The sequence below is a fragment of the Homo sapiens genome, chromosome 12 (genome assembly GCF_000001405.40).
Source record: "Homo sapiens chromosome 12, GRCh38.p14 Primary Assembly".
Lineage (NCBI taxonomy): Eukaryota > Metazoa > Chordata > Mammalia > Primates > Hominidae > Homo > Homo sapiens.
The window spans coordinates 76,257,849-76,278,229 of record NC_000012.12 but is presented as its reverse complement, the minus strand read 5'-3'; the positions used below and the strand labels follow the sequence as shown (position 1 = coordinate 76,278,229).

At 40.9% G+C, this 20,381-nt stretch overlaps 1 long non-coding RNA gene across 1 annotated transcript in view; it reads right to left on the bottom strand.

Annotated features, from left to right (window-relative positions):
- Positions 1-18,347, bottom strand: part of LNCOG (lncRNA osteogenesis associated) — a 46,087-nt gene extending 27,740 nt beyond the window's left edge. Inside the window, exon 1 of the long non-coding RNA NR_146531.1 lies at positions 18,249-18,347. This is a non-coding gene — a long non-coding RNA (lncRNA osteogenesis associated). The remainder of the gene's footprint in view (positions 1-18,248) is intronic.
- Between the last annotated feature and the right edge of the window lie 2,034 nt (positions 18,348-20,381).

Genomic DNA, 20,381 nt, shown 5'->3' with positions numbered 1-20,381 from the left:
GACCAGGGGGCAACTCACCTAAAACGGGACTGAGCCTACAGCGGAGCAGCCTGTGTGGTAGCTGAGAGTGGGTCAGAGAGAACCAGCTAACCAAGGTGTTTATTTCAAAATGCTGAAGTCCTCTGGTCTGCATGACAAGCACAGTACAGTGGACCGAGGGGATTCGGCATGGGCTGAAAGTGATCAGATGTGAGCTTGTACACAATGGCAAATAGGTTTTAATGGATACATTAAGCACCTCTGGCTCATAGATGCTCTCTTGGGGACGATCTGGAGGCTGTATCTGAGCCCAACAGGAAAGAGGACCATGATTAGTGGTCCTACGATTAGTGGGAATATCTTCCATGGACCAGGGATGGAAGTGTGGTGGCACATGTACCCTATACATACCATCTCTGAGCTACATACTGACATTAAAAGCTCTGTGTCTGGAAAAGTAAGTTGGAATCTAATCATGGAAAGCTTTAAATGTTAGACTGAAGAATTTGGCCTTTATTTTGTGGAATTTTGTGGTTTGTCTGGTCAGAACACTAGCTATAAAAATAAAGACAGGAAATGCCTTCAGCAGGATTCACACTCTGCACCTGCCGGAGGAGCTATGCAGCACCCTAGTGTCTTACGCTCAGTCGTGTCTCACATTTAAATCACCTGACGGTCTTCCAGTTTGCAAGCCTGCTGCAGGTATTAGAAAAACACTGATGAACTGAGTGTTGGAAAATGACATTATCAGAAGGTATTCTAGGCAGGGATGTGAAAGTTGGATTGAAGAAAGGAGAAAAAAGGGTAGAAGCTGCAATACTAGTTAAGAAGCATTGAAAATCTCCATTTAAGAGTCATACATACCTTGACTAGAACTGTGAAAATAGAAAAGAGGGAAAGAGCTAAGAGATGTTGCAGAAGTGAGCCATATTAGTTTAGCTTGGGTGTAGGGGAGAGAGAAGAGAGACTTCAAAAGTGATGTCAAAGTTTTAAACCTAAGGGACTGGGGAAAGACTGCTGGTCCTATGAACAGAAATAGGGAATTCAAATAAATGAACAAATTTAGACTGGCCTGTGGGGAGGTGGGGAGGAAGGAGATGAGTGGATGCATTTTAGAACCCAGTTATTTTTTGATGATGCCACTGTTACAGACAAACCCACTCACACACAGCCTTTCCCAGACAAAAGACATTGTGTCTTGTCCTATCTTTCCCAGACATCCAAGGGAGGACATCCAATTAGGACAGCTGGCTGGGTTAAAGGTTCAGTCTGTGGCCATGGACTAAAGCCAAATTAACTGGGATGGAATCTGTGCCCTTGACCAAAAGAGCAAAGGACTAACTGGTAATCAGTTTCGGCCATTTCTGCTGTAACATCTAATCAGATATTGGCTTCCTGTCCTCAGCCTTCTTGCCAGCTGGATGGTCACCTTGCCTTACTGCCTGTCCCAGCTATGGGTAGATGTCACACTGAACGTGTTCATCTTTCAGCTGTCTTCTCATCTCTCTCAGTCAAGGGTGAGAATGGATCAGGGAGTGGGAGAGTTTGGCTAGGTCAACAGAGAAGCGTGTGTAATGCCATGCCGGATGCCTGGTAGTGGTGCACTCTGCCTGTCCATCCAGTTTCTGAGTCCTGCTTTATGATGCCAGACTGGAGTTTGCAAATAGTAGTTCCTGCATATCCTCCACCTAATATTTTCTTGTAGATGCTTGATGCCAAGACCCTGTCTCACCTGTTGAGTCCTGGTTCTGTTATCATCAGTTAGCTTAGTAGCTTGATACAAACTTTATTATTTTTCATGATTCCATGGGTTGACTGGGCTCAGATGGATGTCTCACAGGACTCTTATGCAGCTGTGGATGGGTCTGGAACATCCAAGATGCTTCATTCCTATATCTGGCCCTTGGCAAAGAGAGCTGGAAGCTGTGCTCAGCTGGGCTGCTGATGACTGAGTCTCTTGCTCTCACTATGTAGTCTCATGGCCTCTCCTCTTCCATATGGCCTCCTCACAGGGTCTCCCTAGCAGGGTAGCTGAACATCTTACACGGCACCCAGGGATCTCCAAAGCACAAAAGCAGAAACTGTCATGGCTTCTGATGACTTAGGCCCCAGACAGGCACATCTCCGCCAATTCTGTGTTGTTCTGTTGGTTAAGTGGATCATAGAACCAGCCTCGATCGGGAGTTAGGAAAAGACTACGTAACCATGTGGATTTGGGGAGGCTCAATTCATTGCAGACACCAAATGTGTTACTACCTCACGCAGAATATAATCCTTTCAGGGATTCTGTGAACTGCACCCCACACCCTCTGACCTCAACTCCACCTTCCCTTCCTCCCTCCCCTCTCTCTGGCAATACTGACTTCTGCTTTCCTTTTGTGGGCTGGAAGAAGGCATTCAGGGAGGTGGTGCTGGGAACCTGAGTATTCCCCGACACATAGGAATCATTTAGGAAGACTAGTAATGTTAAGGGAATCTAAGAGAGGGAAGAATGTTTAAGAACACTGAGGATGTGGAAAACTTCCTGTTGTAGTTCTAATCCTGTTAGGGTTAGAACATAGAGTAACTACTGGGGTATTGTGTAAGGTCAGGCAAAACAGACAAGGAGGGGCCAGGTCATGAAGAAAATTACATTCCAACCTAAGGAATTTCAGTTTGGTTTCCTAGACATTGAAGGGTTATAAACAGGGAAAACTTGATCAGATTTGCATTTTAGAAAGAACACTCTGGCAGTTTGGGAAATACACTAGAAAGTGAAGAGATTAAGAAGGAGGTAGACCAGTTAGGACCAAACATTAAGCAAGACATGGTGAAGGTCTTAGCTCAGCATGCCCCACACCCCTAGGGTGTGTGAGTCTATGGGCAAATTTGGAGTCTGGTGGGGGAGGCATGTCTGTATAATCAATTTGATTTGAAATGTATTATAAAATTTATGAACCTATGAAAGGTGATTAACTGATAAAGATTTAGAAAATGGGTAGAGGGTACACATAGCCATTTTCTATCCAATCAGTGCATTGAAAAATTCTTCGTAATGTCCAGGCCCCATCAGCTCCTGTTCAGGTCTCGGAACTATCTCCTCATACTCTTTATTGTTAAATATGCTGTTCCTGGCTAATTTATATCTCCCACTGAAAGAAAAAAGTAGCACTGTAGTTATTACTCACAATGGCATGGTTCTTTGCAAGCTATTTGTATAGAAACAATGTAGATCTTTTTCCTCTTCCAGTTTCCTAGTACCAGTTATTTTGTGCTGGTTACATTCTTACTCATGACATGACATCATCCATCATGTTGACTGTGAATGCTGATTTCCAGTGACTCTCTCAGAGGTTGTTATGGTGCTTCCTTGATGATGACCACAAATGCGCCTGTTACCCAGGGCGTGCAGGAAAATGTGAGCAATAATCTGATTTTCTGCTCACGTTAAATTTATTGTTCAGACTTTTATACCACAAATGTAAATTAACACATATTCCAATCATGTTTTCTTTTGAACTCTTGAGGCCATAATCATTGCATTCCTAGAATGTCATCTCTTTTAATTTTGGACACACTTCTGCCTCCCACACTGCTTTCTGTAGGGAAGAGAGGAAAGGAACCTCTAGGCTTGGCAGGAAAAGTACAATCCCATTCATCCAAGGAATATCTATCATCTGTCAGACCTTAAGACCAACCTGGGAGAGCACAGCATCACCATATCCATCAATCAGAGGCAACACTGTGCAGCAACAGCCTCAGAAGCTCTCAGAAGAAACAGACCTGGGGTCACCCCAGAGGACTTCCTGACATGTGTTATCCTAGCCTGTAAAAGGTGTGGTGGGACTGGTAGTAAAAGATTCTGTTAACACTCTCCTTACCCTTGGGTGCTAGAGACCAGAGATAGGATTGCAAGGTAACAAGTGCCAATGCACAGGCCCATGTATGTCACACAGGCCAGTAGGAGCAATCTGCTTCCCTCCTGGAACAGGGGCCCAGCCACAGGACCCCAGAACAACCCCACAGAAGCATGGTTCAGAGTTCCTTGGGGCAACTGGTTGACCACATATGTCAGGTAGAGTTTCAGGGAACGCTCTGAAGAAGCGAAAAAAGGACCAGGAACCATGTGGGCTGGAGTGGCCTGTCTGGATGCTACTGAAAGACCAGCCAGTCCCAGACACTGGAGAGAACTTAGAAAATGTCGAGGAGTGGGCCAAATGTAGGGGCTCATGCCTGTAATCCCAGCACTTTGGGAGGTTGAGGCAGGGGGGTCACTTGAGCTCAGGAGTTTGAGACCAGCCCAGGCAACCTAGTGAGACCTTGTCTCTACAAGAAATCAAAAATTAGCGGGGCATGATGGCACGTGCTGTAGTCCCAGCTACCTGAGAGGCTGGGGCAGAAGGATCACTTGAGCCCAGGAGGTGTGGCTGCAGTGGGCTATAATTGTACCACTCCACTCCAGCCTGGGTGACAGAGTAAGACCTTATCTCAAAAAAAAACAAAAAAAAAAGAAAGAAAGAAAATGTTGAGGAAAGCACTCTGAAACACAAGGCTCCCTTTGCTTCAGGCCTTAGATAGGCGCCCTACTTGCCCCAGTCTAAGAGTGGTACTAGCAGTTTGAAGGAGCAGTGAGTTCAAAAGCCGCAGGTTCATTTGAGAGACTCTGTGAAGATGTTTAGGGAAATAATCCATAATAAAGATGTCCAACCTCTCTCTCTCTCTGACTTAAATATATTTTAAAAATATATCTTACTGTAAACACCAATATTAAAGCAGATACTAGCACAGGTGTTGTGGTTGAAGTGGAAGATAAGAGTTCAGAGCCTAGCTGATGGCCTGAGTTCAGTACCACAGCACACCTCTGTCTCCATGAAATCCCAGGAAAACCTTAGGGACCCATAGAACACAGCCTGAAGCTATGCATCTAAAGAATGTGCACACAGGCTAGAGGCAAAAATGAAGGCTAAATTATCATTCATGCAAATATTAATATTGCAGATATCCACTAATATTTCCCATATGGTATAGTGTAACCTGCTTTGAAAGTTTGTTGGCCAGGTGCAGTGGCTCATGCCTGTAATCCCAGCATTTTGGGAGGCTGAGGCAGGCAGATCACTTGAGGCCAGGAGTTTGAGACCAGCCTGGCCAACATGGTGAAACCCCTCAATTCTACTAAAAGTACAAAAATTAGCCGGTGTGGTTGTGGGCCACTGCACTCCATCCTGGGTGATAGAGTGAGACTCCGTCTAAAAAAAATAAAGTTTGTTGTTTGTTGAAGAACTTAGACCACTTTCTTGAACTTTTTCAGTTTTTTTCCTCAAAAATCCAATACAAATTTTTATTAATTATTTGTAGTTCTCCCCTGTTACCCACTACTCTCTGTAAGACCATAATGAAATTTTAGAAAAGGAAGTTTCTGTTATTTACAATTTATAATGATTCAGAAAATAAGTTATAAAGAAAGAAAAAGAAAGAAAGGAAATAATAATAGAAAAAAAATTGGCCCACCCAAATCCTTACAGTCCAAGATGAACTGGAACAAGACACATTAGTGAGTGTCTCATACCTGTGCTTGGTTCTGTGTTGAGTATCCCTGCAATTCCATTTAAGACTTGCTAGGAAAATATTTATTTCTACTGGAAAATCACATAATGTTTTTTAAAGAAATCCTGTTACTAAATGGCTCCAGGAGAGTTTTGCTGATTTCTAGAGAAGAACAGTCATGCTCTTTGTCTTGAACTGAAAGGCTGACAGCAAAGGAGGCCAACCTCGGGTGCCCTCGCCGCCAGACATAAAAGGGCTGCTTTGAAATTCTTGCCAACTGGTTGACAGTATTTTCATTATTTCTGTGAAGCCTGACACAGATCTTTTAATGAAGCTGCAGTTGTGTCTCACTGGCAGGATAAATTAGCTGAAATTGTGCATATTCTACCTGTCCTGAGGTTCCCAGGGGCTAAAGGCTGATGACCTACAGAGGTGAATTCGCTGAAGAAGTAAGAAGGAAACTCATACAAGTTTTAATAATAGCAGCTCAACCCCGACCCCTGAAGAAAATGCACAACAATTGAGAGGGGTCTCTATTTCAGCTGGAAACTGAGGGGAGGGAGAAGAGACGGGAGAGCAAGAGTCAGAACAGGGGTGGGGTCTGTTCCCACTGGGGGATGGAGTAAGTTCATGACAGGGGAAATATCTTTCCATCTCTTTTCTCCTTGAGTGCTGTCAGAGTGACCCCCTGATGTTTCTAGCCCCACATCTTACCAATCATTGAGAAGGTGCCACTTTGGGAGGATCGTCAGACTTGCTCCTATTGTCCTCCTTCCACTTCCACCACCTGCAAGGCCCCTCATGTCGGGAGGTACACATTGTCAGCCCACTCATGCCCATCCATCAGGGCACAGCTCATTTGTCACCTCCTCTGCGGACTCCTTGTTCCTTTATTCTGAATTAAGCTATGTTACTACCATGTGCTTTAAACCTTGTCTTTACGCTAATGCCTTGCACTTTATTGCATTATCTTTCAATAGGCTGATCCTTGCAGGCACGAATACTGTCTCGTCTACAGTTGATTATCTGACAGCATCAGCACAGTATTGACTTTTCTGGATTTTTTGAAACTTGGATGTTAGTTGAGAATTCTACATGCTTGATGGAAATAAAAACAAATAACCATTGTGTTTATTGGTCATCTTAATGAGCTCTTTTGTGAAGTATATGTCTGTCTTTTGTCTACTTTTCTATTGAGTCACCTGGCTTTTTCTTATTGACTTGTAGCTTTCTTTAGAGATTGTGGCTAAGACATCTTTGTTGGTTGTGAGTGTTGCAAATATCTTTTCCTTTTTTTTTTTTTTTTTTTTTTTAAGACAGGATCTTGCTCTGTTGCCTAGGCTAGAGTGCAGTGGCATGATCTTGGCTCATTGCAGCCTCTGCCACCTGGGTTCAAGCAATTCTCATGCCTCAGCCTCCTGTGTAGCTGGGATCACAGGCATGTACCACCCATGCATGGCCAATTTTTTTTTTTTTTTTTTTTTTTTAGTAGAGATAGGATTTCATCATGTTGACAAGGCTAGTCTTGAACTCCTGGCCTCAAGTGATTTGCCCACCTCAGCCTCCCAAAGTGCTGGGAATACAGGCATGAGTCACCGCTGCTGGCCACAGATATCTTTTCCTATTCTGTGGCTTCCCTTTTCATTCTCTTAATGATATCTTTTGGTGAAAACAAGCTCTTAATTTTATAAAGTCCAACTTATTTTATTTATGGCTTATGTTCTTTGTGTCCTAAGAAATCTTTGCCTAGCTCCAAATCATAAAGTTGTTCTCCTAAATTTTCTTCTAGAATTATTTTCCCTTTCACATTTAGATAATCAATTCATCATGTGAGAAAAAGTGATTTTTTTTGAGACAGCTGTGTAAATATTTACAGATCTCAAAGTTACCATCATCCAGCCTCGTTTTACAAATCTATAACAATCCCTTGTGTAACCTCTTAACACTTGCCTCTAATATCTTAAAAGAGAATACTAGTCAAGAAAGTTGGCCAGACATGGTGGCTCATGCCTGTAACCTCAGCACTTTGGGAGACTGAGGCAGGTGGATTGCTTGAGGCTAGGAGTTCAAGACCAGCCTAGGCAACGTGGAGAGACCCTGTCTCTACAAAAATAAAAAATTAGTCGGGCATGGTGGTACATCTGTAGTCCTAGCTACTCGGGAGGCTGAGGCGCAAAGATCACTTGAGCCCGGGAGGTTGAGGCTGCACCAGTGAGCTGTGTTTGCTTCACATTACTCATGTGTTTGCCTGGGTGAGAGATATAATTTTCTACACTGTACTAACTTCCCTGGAGGCCTTTTGAACAAAGAGCTAGACTAAAAAAGACAGAAAAGCAGTCTAGTCAAAAAACAAAACAAAAAAAACTTTGGTATTAAACAACAGCAGGTTTAAATCCCAGTTCTATTTTTCAGTTTTTTGTGACCTAGGACAAGGCATATACTGGCTTTCAGCCTTGGTTTCTGCTCTGGAAAGTGGTCATAATGGTAGCTGAGATGTTTTACTGTTTGCCATGTGCCAGACTCTATGCCAATCCTGCACAATCTCATTTAAATCTCGGAACCACTCTGTTACATATGAATAGTTAATATATCTTCTTTATAGATGATAAACAGAGAGGAGCCATACAGTTACCCAATGGTGCATCCAGGATTTAAGTTTGGGCAGGCTGATCCCAGGGCTTACATATGTAGACACTGTCCTTACTTCTTTCCTATTAAAATTCAAAAGCCCTAAGGTGGCAGTAAAGTGAGATAAGCCGGGAAAAGTGCTTAGCCCAGTGCATGGGCCCTGTTAAGTGCTTAATAAATACTAAAGTTTGTGAGTGTAGCAACAAATAACTAATCCATATTGTCCCCATCCCCAGGCACTTTGGAAGAGCTAGAATCCATAGCCACTTCAGGAAATGACATAGGAAATCTTTCAAGGTACAGGTAAGAAAATCATGAAAGTTGCATGCTAATGTGATTGGGGTTGGAAATACTTACTGATTACCCAACCAATATTATAATCTTCATTAATTAATTAATTCTCCTTACTCTCACTCTATTCTTCCCTTCCTTTCTTCCTCCCCTCTTTCATCAAGGAAATACTTATTGAGTGCTTACTATGTGCTAGGTCTGTTCTAGGAGCTGGTAACACAGCAGTGAAAACAACAGTCAACTTCTCCACCCAAACCAAATTTCACTATGGGTTCATTGTCTGGTCTATACAATAAACAAATAAATCAGTAAGTACGTAATATTTAATAAGTGCTATGAAGGTAAATAATGCAGGTTAAAAGAGTAGCGGGTGAGGAAGCAGGGGAAAAAAGGATTCGTTTATGGATGGAGAGGTCAGGGAAGCCCACTTTGTGGGGGTGACATTTGATTAGACATCAGAAGAGGTGAGGAAGATGTCGTGAGGATATCTGGTGATAAGGAGAGGACAGTAGTTTCAGAGGCCTGGAGTGGGGGTGTATTGGAAATATTCAAGTAACTGCAAGGAGTCCAGTTCAACTGGAAAAGAGTGAGCTTAGAAGAAAATGAGACCAGAGAAATGTGAGGGGTCAGATTGTGGAAGGCCTCAGGGCCCTTGGCAAGGTAGGGTTTTAGTGAGAAGCAGTTTTGCACAGTGGTTAAGAACATAGTTTCCACCAGTGAGTTCTATAAGTTCAAATACTAGCTTTAATATTTACATAAATTTGAGCCTTGTGTTGTGCCTATTTGTGCCTTAGTTTCTTCATCTGTAAAATGGGATTAATAATATCAAATTAGACTTGAGAAAATTCTGGCAATTTCTTGGCATCCAGGTAAAGAGCTGAAATTAAAGCATCTCTTGCTTGAACTTGTAATTCACGGAAGGTATTAAACCTTTACTTACACCAATACCAAAAATAGATTTTGTATTAATAACATAGAGGTGGCTTTTCAGACTACTATCACAAGTTTTTGTTTTTTGGGGGGTTTTGAGACAGGGTCTTGCCGTGTTGCCTAGGCTGGTCTTGAACTTCTGGGCTCACGTGATCCGCCTGCCTTGGCCTCCCAGAGTGCTGGGATTACAGGCGTGAGCCATTGCATCTGGCCAGCTATCATAAGATAATTGAACAAAAGAATATCCTTGGCTAATTATTGGTCAAATTTCAATTAGCAAATGACTGCATATTACCAGTGAGTTTTCAAAGGGACTTGAGAATAGGTCTGGATCAGATCAGATATCAAAATAAACTTTCTCCCAGACAGATTCAGAGCATTTCATCAAGATGATTCAAGTAACATGAATGAAGACAAATCGGGGCCAAAAGGATGTAGCCTGCAAAGTATGACAGGGCTTGATGGAATAACATCAATATTGGTGTTTTAATATGCAATATAATTAGATTTCAGATCTAGACTCTTCTGAAAATAATGCAGACAGAGAAGTGCCTCAGGTCAGGATTTTAATTCAGAGAGTAAGATAAGAATAAATATCTTGTGGTAGTGCTCTTTTTTGTTGAAGGGTAGACTTTACTACAGAGTACATGTTGAGGTCTGATATATTTGGCAGTGCCACCATCTTCAATGTCTCTGATTTGCTTCCCAAAGTAGAGAAGGGAACACAAGTGAAAAGGAAGTTGGGATTTATTTGGATCCCAGGTTTCCAAAGACAGCATTTACACCTCTTACTGCCTCAGTTAGCCATAGCTCAAAGCTAGAGAGATTTTTGTTTCTCCTCCAAGGTAGCAAGGAAGCAAATAACTTCAGTGGTATCTTTTGTGCTACATTCTGAGATAGACGATGATTGTGATTATAGGAAGTCTTGTTCCATTTTAATTTATTCAACCATCACTTCATAAAGCATCCCCTAGGTTGGCCATAAGCAGCTCAGAGTTCCACATTCCTGCTACCTTTGCTCTTCCCTCAAGAACACCATCAAGGGCAAGAAGGGTCACTGAACCCTTCTTGGGGTTTACAGTCTTAGTGGAAAACATTAAACCAGTCAGTTCGTGCAAAAATGTTCTGCTGACACTGACTCTTTGGGCACTTTTTATCCTAAGAGATCAGAGAAGATGGGCCTGGATGTTAAGCCTATTGAACAATGGGTCAAAGATAAAAAACAGAGATGCAGTTGACTAGATTTTAGCAGCTCCTCGTGCTCCCTCCACTTCCTCTCATTTCACTCCCAACGGGGAAGGGTGTGGCCATGCTGTAGGCTTCAGGATGCCTTTTCTTTTGCAGGGCCAGAGCCTGAGACAAAAGCCTAAGAGCTCAGCCTCGTCTAGGCAAAATACGTTCACCAAGTTGCATGTGGTCTACTCCAGTTCACAAGACTCTACACTGGGGCTTGAGCCAGAGCCCAGCTAAATAGAACGTGCCTCTTTGCCCACCATCCTTTTCTGTGTATATCGTTTACTGCAGGACAGATGGAATTCAAGTGTGCAGGATCCCTTAGCCATAAATCCCTCCAGCTCCCTATATTCCTACCAGATGGCATAGAGTTGGGGACTGAGAAGGCATATTCACTGGGGACCAGCATTTGGGCAGTAGAGGCCCTAAGAGAGTGAGGGAAGCTCTTGGAGGATTTGGTATTGGTAGTAAAAAGGACTCCTTTTGGGTACTAGCTTATCCAGAACTTAAAATGTTGGAGCAGCAAGGAGCTGTGAGTCCCATGGTAAGGTCATCAGTCAGCTCAGCCCAAAGGATCTGGAGGACCTGACGGCTGCTTCTCTGGAATCTGAGCCAAGGAAGGCAAGCCAGGAGGATGAGATCACAGTCACCTCATTAATGTACTATGTGTAACACAAGTGGGTGGCAAGAAGAGCTCTCGTTGCAGAGAACACTTTGTCTTAATGCTTAGTCAAACAAGGACAAGTACATTTCAAAATGTGTGACATTTTAGCAGGAGACAGGTACAGATTCATAATCCTTTCTCCACAATTATAAAATTTAAAAGGCTCTGAAAAACAGAAGCTCTTTTGCCAGTGTGGGAAAAAACCTCACATAGTGGCAAAAACCTTTTTGACCATTGGTTATGTCTCAGAGCCCCTACCCAGCACTATCATGTCTACTGTGTACATTTTTGTTATTTTGAAATTTGGGGTTAATTTCACTCTTTGAGAAGAGTTAAAGCTGCCCTTATAGGTAACAATGAAGAGAGGGAAAGGAAGAAAAGGAAGTGCCTGTTGAAATCAATAATATTATAAGTAAAGTTATTACAGAAGATAGATCCTGCTATCTGTCTTGAAAAATACAGTATCAGAATCAAAACAATATATGACTTAAAAAACAGAACGGCAAGTTGTAGAAGATTTCCTGTGCAACAATGACTAAGAACTAATGAAAAATAGGAAAACACTTTAAAGGGCAAAGAATGCAAATCATGATGATATGTTAATTAAGTGGATTTGACAATGAAGCGAACATATACTACTAGTTTGTTATGAAGCAAGCTACTATACACTGCAAAAATTGAACACTGAAAATAATGTGAATATTTAGAAGGCTGTGGTGGTGGGGGGCTGGTAAATCTGAAATCTGTAGGGCAATTCCATAGGTTGGAAATTCAGGCAGGGTTTCTATGTTACAGTCTTAAGGTAGAAATTCTTCCCCAAAACAATCTGTTTTTGCTATTAAGGCCCTCAACTAATTGTATGAGGTCCACCAACAATATCAAGGGTAATCTCCTTTACTTAAAGTCAACTGGTGGTATATCTTAACTGCATCTACAAAATACTTCACATCAACGTCTAGACTGGTATTTGTCCAAACAAATGGTCATGCCAATGATCGTGGTCATGGTCATGGTCTAGCCAATCTGACACACAAAAATTTAACCATCACAGCTGCCTACGGAATTTAAGAGCTTTAATGCTAATAGAGTAAAATAGAAAAAAAGACACAGAATTTAAGAGCATCATGGTGTAAAATGCCTTACAAATATGTAATAAAATCACTCCTGATGATGTTGAAACAAATTAAAGATATTTTTAAAATTATTAAATTATTAAAATTAAATAATTTTAATTATTTAAATAAATAAATTTATCAAATGTATTAAATAAATTTAGTATTTATGTAATAAATTATTAAATACTAACTTAAATTTATTGAATTAAATTTATTAATAAATAATAATTTGATTAATTTTAATAATTCAAATATTAATTATTTAATAATAATTTATTAATTATTTGATAATTCAAATAATAGTTCTTTTTTATTCAGAACTAACATATCTTAGAAACAGCCAAAATCTTGATAAACTTGTTAAAATACTGTCTGATGTAAACCTTAGTCCTGAACCTATTTATAATTTTGATATTAAATTTGATATTAAAGCTCTATATTGGTACTGTTTTCCCATGGTACTGACTCATGAGAAAGCTTCTATAGGTTTTAATAACACTAAACTCAGATGGACTGTGCTTGGCATGCAGCACTGTGTTTTGTTTTTTTTGAGACAGAGTCTCACTCTGTCACCCAGGCTGGAGTGCAGTGGCATGATCTCCGCTCACTGCAACCCCTGCCTCCCAGGTTCAAGTGATTCTCCTGCCTCAGCCTCCCAAGCAGCTGGGACTACAGGCACGTGCCACCACACCCAGCTAATTTTTGTATTTTTAGTTGAGATGGGGTTTCACCATGTTGGTCAGGCTGGTCTTGAACTCCTGACCTTGGGATCCACCCACCTTGGCCTCCCAAAGTGCTGGGATTACAGGCATGAGCCACTGTGCCTGGCCAGCACTGTGTTTTTAAAACAAGATAAAATTGACAGTACCTGAGGAAAGCCTACATCCAAGAAATTTGAAAGGTATATGCAAATTACCTGTGCAAACAAGAAAGTATGAGTAATTAGAGAACTACTTTATGATGATTCAATGGCCACTTTGTACCAGCAATATGGGCTTATTACCAGCAAGCTGATGTAGAAGAAAAATGTAAAGTTCTATTACTTCTGGACCATGGCTTTACAAACCCTCCTCTTGAACTTCTTGCATAATGTTTTCAGTTTTTCTTTTCCTTGCAACATGACATCAGGAGTGTAGCCTTGGAGCCAAAGAGCTTTAGAGACTGAAAAGCAAGTCTGAGCACTTCTTTCCAAACTGTATGTTTGCTTCAGTGAACAGAAGCCAGGAATCTAAGACTTCCTTAAAGAGGTTATACTCAAGGATACCATTTACAGAGCTGCCAATGCTCAGAATGATATTATTAAGTCAACATCAACAAATGCTAGGAACAGAATTTTGCTACTCCAATGTTGGAAAATAAAACCACCAACACAAACTTAGAAATATGTGGGGCCATTGATGAAAAAACAATTATGTCTATCTTTATTATTACACTAAGTTTTTATTGGCTGAAGTTGTTAGAAGAAGCTGATAGTAAAGAAATACTGATCATTGGTAGTGATGCAGTTGTATATTTTCAGTGATGGGGAGATTGCTGAAATGTTGCAAATATAGTAAGTGTGAGGATTACAGAAGATAATGATGATGATATTATAAATATAGGTGAAAAAAACACCACAGATGATCTGGTGATGTTACTTAATGTGAGGTAGTTTATAGCTAGCCTGGAGTAATATGCTTTCAATGATGATGGAAAGATTGTTGACATTTACTCAAACAGAAATTGTTTAGACAAAAATCCATGTTAATAAAACGAATGACAGGAGAAAGTTTGGTTTTTATTTAATTTTATAAAAAAAATAATTTTTAATCCGTATCATTTCTTATGATCCTGTGAATCCCAGTCCAAAGGCAGGAGAAGACCGACGTTCCCGCTCCAGCATGCAGGCAGGAAGGGGACAAATCCCTTCCTCTGCTTTTGTTCTATCAAGCTTTCAACGGGTTGAATGAGGCCTCCCCATATTGACAAGGGCAATCTACTTTCCTGAGTCCACCAATTCAAATGCTAATCTCATCTGAAAACACTCTCACAGACACACCCAGAAGTAATGTTTAATCTGGGCACCCCGTAGCCTAGTCAGTTTGACCCATAAAATTAACCATTACAGGAGTTGAGGGCTTCAACATATGAATTTTGAGGGGATACAATTCAGTCCATATCATCCGCAGACTCCACTGCTGGTATTATGTAAAATATAATATATGAATGTATAACCTTTCTAAAAATCTCTAAAATTCTAAATTATGAATTATCCAGCCAAAACCATTTCTGACAAGAGATTGTTGACCTATACAAAATATCCTATAACCTCTTTCCTTAAAAGAGTTGAGAGTATAAGACTATTGATCTAGAAAATAATAAAATTTTAGAAAAATGGAAGAAAATAGTTCTATTGCTTGTTTCTCCCTTTAAACTCCTTTTATTCTAAGGAGAGTACGGGCTTTTAAGAACTTGATGAAAGGGGTCTAGAATATCTCAACCATGATTTCATTTCAGCCCTCAGCCTACTCTGTACTTTTGTGTGAAGCCATCCAGGTCCTCAGAGTCTCATTTACTAGTCAGGAACAAGGCAGGACTGTGACTCTTACCCCAGGAACGTGCTCTTCCAAATACAGCACTCCTATCTACTCTAGATCTGCCACTTGCTGGTAGAGTGGTGGGCAATCCTCATCTCCAAAATGATAATAATGGCAGTGCTAACCGCAAGGGTTATTGTGGGGATTTGATGTGATGATCCCTGTGAAGTGCTTAGAACAGTGCCTGCTGTGTGGTGGGCTCTCGATAAATGTCATTTATTACTATGAAAGGTTAGGAAGAGTAAAAATTACTTTGGTCTTTTCCATTAAGGTGAAATTGCCTCTGCAGATAACATGATCTTATATATGGAAAACCCTAAAGACTCCACCAAAAATCTATAAGAACTAATACATAAATTTAGTAAAGTTGCAGGACACAAAATCAACATAAAGAAATTAGCTGCATTTCTATACACTAACAGCCTATCTGAAAATGAAATCAAGAAAACAATCCCGTTTACAATAGCTTTAATTAAAAAAAAAAAAAAAAAAAAAAAAACTTAGTACTGGGTGGAGTGGGTCACACCTGTAATCTCAGCACTTTGGGAGGCTGAGGTAGGAGGATTGCTTGAGCCCAGGAGACCAGCCTGGGCAACATAGTGAGACCTTGTCTCTACAAAAATTTTAAAATTTGGCCAGGTGTGATGGTGTACACTTGTAGATACAGCTTCTTGGGGAGCTGAGGTGGGAGGATTGCTTGAGCCCAAGAAATTGAGGCTGCAGTGAGCTGTGATTGCACCACTTCATTCCAGCCTGGGCAACAGAGCAAGATCCTGTCTCAAAAAAATAAAAATAAAAATAAAAATATAAATAAACACTTAGGAATAAATTTAACTGACATGAAAGATCTGTACAGTTAAAATTATAAAACACTGATGAAAGAAATCGAAGACACCAATAATGGAAAGATACCCTATGTTTACAGATTGGAAGAATTGTTAAAATGTTTATACTATCTACATAAAGCAATCTACAGATTCAATGCAATCTCTATCAAAACTCCAGTGTTTTTTACAGAAATAGAAAAAATAATTCTAAAATTCATATGGGATCCTTAATGACCCTGAGTAGCCAAAGCAATATTGAGAGAAAAAAAAAAAAAAGCTGGAAGCATCATACTATTTGATATCAAAATACACTACAAAGCTATAGTAATCCAAATAGCATGGTATTGGCACAAATACAGACATGTAGACCAGTGAAACAGAGATCCCAGAAGTAAATCCATGTATTTACAGTCAACTGATCTTTAACAATGGTGCCAAGAATACACAATAGGGAAAGAAGAGTCTCTTCAATAAATAGTGCTGGAAAAACTGCATATCCACATGCAGAAGAATGAAATTAGATCCTTATCTCATACCATATACAAATATCAACTCCAAATGGATTAAAGACTTAAAGTAGATCTGGAAAAAGGAAACTCTCTAAACAAAAGTCCTCCTCCCTACCCCTCTTCCAGCTGCTTTGCATCTGTTTGTGGAGCTCCACTTTTGTCCCCTTAAAGGTAAATGAGCACTTTCCTCCTTCCATTTCCACTGCACAGGTAACTCTCAAAGGACTTCACACTCATTAACTCCAGCATGGAGAGCAAGGGACTAAAGAGCAACACTTTTCAGAGACAGTTTTTTAGAACATTTATTTTCTGATGATGATGGTCTTCCTCTGTTTTCCCAGAGTTGGATGCCTACCTAGAGAATCTCCAAAAAATGCAACAGTGTGCTTTGATGTTTGCCTACCATAGTTACCATTGTTAAATACTATTTATGGGTCCGGGCACTTCTAATCAAAAAGTGCCTGTAATCCCAGCACTTTTTGATTAGAATGTTAGAACTTTCAGCCCCATCCACCACTCCTATCACTATGCAAGGGAAAGGGGTTGGAAATTGAAGCTGGATGAGCACATTGGCTCACGCCTGTAATCCCAGCACTTTGGGAGGCTGAGGTGGGTGGCTCATTTGAGGTCAGGAGTTCAAGACCAGCCTGGCCAACATGGTGAAACCCCATCTCTACTAAAAATACAAAAATTAGCCAGACGTGGTGGCAGGCACCTGTAGTCCCAACTACTCATGAGGCTGAGGCAGGAGGATCACTTGAACCCAGGAGGCAGAGTTGCAGTGAGCCAAGATTGCACCACTGCACTCCAGCCTGGGCAGCAGAGCGAGACTCCGTCTCAAAAAAAAAAAAAAATAGTGAATGACTCAGTCTATTTGGGCTGTTATAACAAAATAGTATATACTGGGTAATTTATAAACAATGGAAAGTTGTTGCTCACAGTTCTGGAGGCTGGGAAGTTCAAGACCATCCTGGCCAACATGGTGAAACCCCATCTCTACTAAAAATACAAAAATTAGCCAGGCATGGTGGTATAAACCTGTAGTCCCAGCTACTTGGGAGGCTGAGGCAGGAGAATTGCTTGAACCCGGGAGGTGAAGATTGCAGTGAGCCAAGATCATGCCACTGCACTCTAGCCTGGGTAACAGAGTGAGACTCAGTCTAAAAAAAAGGAAAAAAAAAAATATGGGAGGCCACTGTTTTGGACTGATTCCTGCACTAGGCTCCATCAGCCGGGACCAAATCAAAATGAAATAAATTCTAGCTTCCACATAATTAAACTGAATTTAGAAATGGGCCAGTTAAAAAAAAAAATCTAGGAGATTCTCAGCAACCAATCCAAAGCCACCAAGTCAACCTGAGCTGACATAACATGAAAGGCCCTCTGCTTTAACCCATACAAGGAAAGTTAACTGAAGCCATCTGATGTTAACCAACCCACTTTTGGCATGACACCATTTCCTTCTTGCTTAAGCTACCTTACAGAAATCAACTGTTCTGCCAACCCTGGAGGAATGTCTTTCCATTTTATGAATGGGATGCTGACCAACTCATAATTGCTAATAAAAGCTAATGAGATCTTTAAATTCAATTTGTTGAAATATTGTTCTCTGTCATCCTCTACCCCATCACCTGTGCTCAGCACCACACCTCTGCTTCACTGTGCCCCTTTATTATTTTTCTAAAGCTGAACAAATCACATGGGCCCCACAGTTAGTGTTTACCTTATGCAACGACCTGTGTGGCCCCTATCAGAGCAAACAGAGAAACAGAAAGATACTCTTCCCCCCATATTAATTCCTCCTCTGCTCAAAAATGGCTTAAATTTCTTGAATTTCTTCAAGCCAGCCAAATGACAATCACAGTCATTATCTAAATGCAAACCCTTCTGAGATAGTGCTTTAATTCACAGTAAGATTCAAATAAATCATAACATCATATCTCGAGGGCAGATTTTCTTAAATGGGTACATACCGTTTTCATCAGTTGTTTTCTTAGAGCTCTGGATATTTCTCTTGTAAGAGGAACAATCTGTGCAATTACAGTTCTGTAAAATACAGCTACAGAATGCTCTGACTTAAGTGTCAGGAGAACAGCCAAGGAGCAAGTTGAGAACTGCCTGGAAGGACCTCTGGCATTACTTTAAAGCCCTGCCAGATCACTTCCGGTATCACATCATCAATTTCCTACCCCAGCTTCACTGACTCCCTATATTAGCATTTCCTGTTAATGTTTTTCATACCCACATGTGAGGGTTACATGGAATTTTAAGTTAGATTCAATAGAAGGAGCAGCAGTATAGAAATACAGTTATTAAAATTCCACTGGTATCTTTCTACTTGTTTTAATGACTACTAAAAACTTAAAAATTATATTGTGTGGCTCACACTATATTTCTATTAGGCAGTGCTGCCTTAGAAAATTCTAGTCATTTTCTAACAGAAAACCTATATGTACAATTAAAAACACTTAAACTGTGGGGGGTTACTAACAACATATACCCTTTCCCCCATTCGGTTTCTCTCTGTAAGCAGTTTAAATTACCTCTTCATTTGCTGAAGATAAAAACTTCAATATTTGAGGATTAAGAAGAGCAAAAGAGGGTCAGAGAAAGGAGATGTTCCCTGCCAGCAGTGTCCTTGTCACATGCTGGGAAGTGAGTTGGCCTAATGGCATTTAACAGTTTGACATGTGAAAAAGAAGAAAACAAGCTGCCTTTTAATCCTGGCATTCTAACCTCTCTCTTCTAATCTCTCCCTAGCCTCTGTCTTCTAGGAATGTGGGATACATTGGGTTGGGAAGTAGAGTGACCTTTGACAGAGATTGGGATGGGGTCCAGGGCAGCTGGCTCCTCTGAATAAATAGGTAAAGACAGGTACAATTAAATAGGGAGTAAGCATTTGCTCAGATGCAGTAGTCCACTAGGAGCCAGTAATCTGTCTAAGTCAATAGAATCCAGAGAAAGTCAAGGTAGTGTGAAGACAATGACGGAAAACTTCATCCACAGAGAAGAAAGAGTAGAATGAACAGATGACCACAGTCTTCCGATGGATGAAGAACCAGCTGTCCACTAAGACTTGTCCCTCATGGCTAAATTGCAGTACCAAAGTTATCTTTCCTGAAGCAATTAGTCTTACATTTTCTCTCTTGCTGTTCACATATTGTTGTTCTGCCATTGAGAAGCAAATGATGGCCAGGTGCGGTGGCTCACACCTGTAATCCCAGAACTTTGGGAGGCTGAGGCGGGTGGATCAGGAGTTCAAGACCGGCCTGGCCAGCATAGTGAAACCCCATCTCTACTAAAAATACAAAAATTAGCTGGGTATAGTGGTGGGAACCTGTAATCCCAGCTACTTGGGAGTCTGAGGCAGGAGAATCACTTGAACCCAGGGGGGCGGAGGTTGCAGTGAGCTGAAATCGTGCCGCTGCACTCCAGCCTGGGTGACAAGAGGGAAACTCTATCTCAAAAAAGAAAAAAAAAAAGAAGCAGCAGCAAATGATGTGTAGAGACTATGGAGACTCTTCTGTCCTCCCACAGATAATGTGCAGATAACATCATTCCAACATCTAAAAATGTGTTATTCATTTATTTCTGCAGAGGCAATATTCTTAGTATTGTACCAGTGACAGCCCTTGGGAGTTACTAACTGTTTATAGAAGAAATTTTTCCTGATGAAATAAAGATTCTGAGTTAATGTCTCTTTTAATATCTTGGAACATTCTGGGGGAGGCTGACATTTTAAAAATATCTTGCTTTGAATATAGGGTCTCTACAGTTGATATATCTAAGCACAATATCAATATGGAATCAGAAATTAGAATAAAAGTGAGCTGGGTATGGTGGCTCATACCTGTAATCTCAGCACTTTGGGAGGCCAAGGTGGGAGGATCACTTGAGCCCAGGAGTTTGAGATCAGCCTGGCCAACATAGTGAGACCTCATTAGAAAGAAAAAAAAAAAGGGCCAGATGCGGTGTCTCATGCCTGTAATCCTAGCACTTTGGGAGGCCAAGGCGGGCGGATCATGAGGTCAGGAGATCGAGACAGTCTTGGCTAACACGGTGAAACCCCGTCTCTACTAAAAATACAAAAAAGTTAGCTGGCGTGG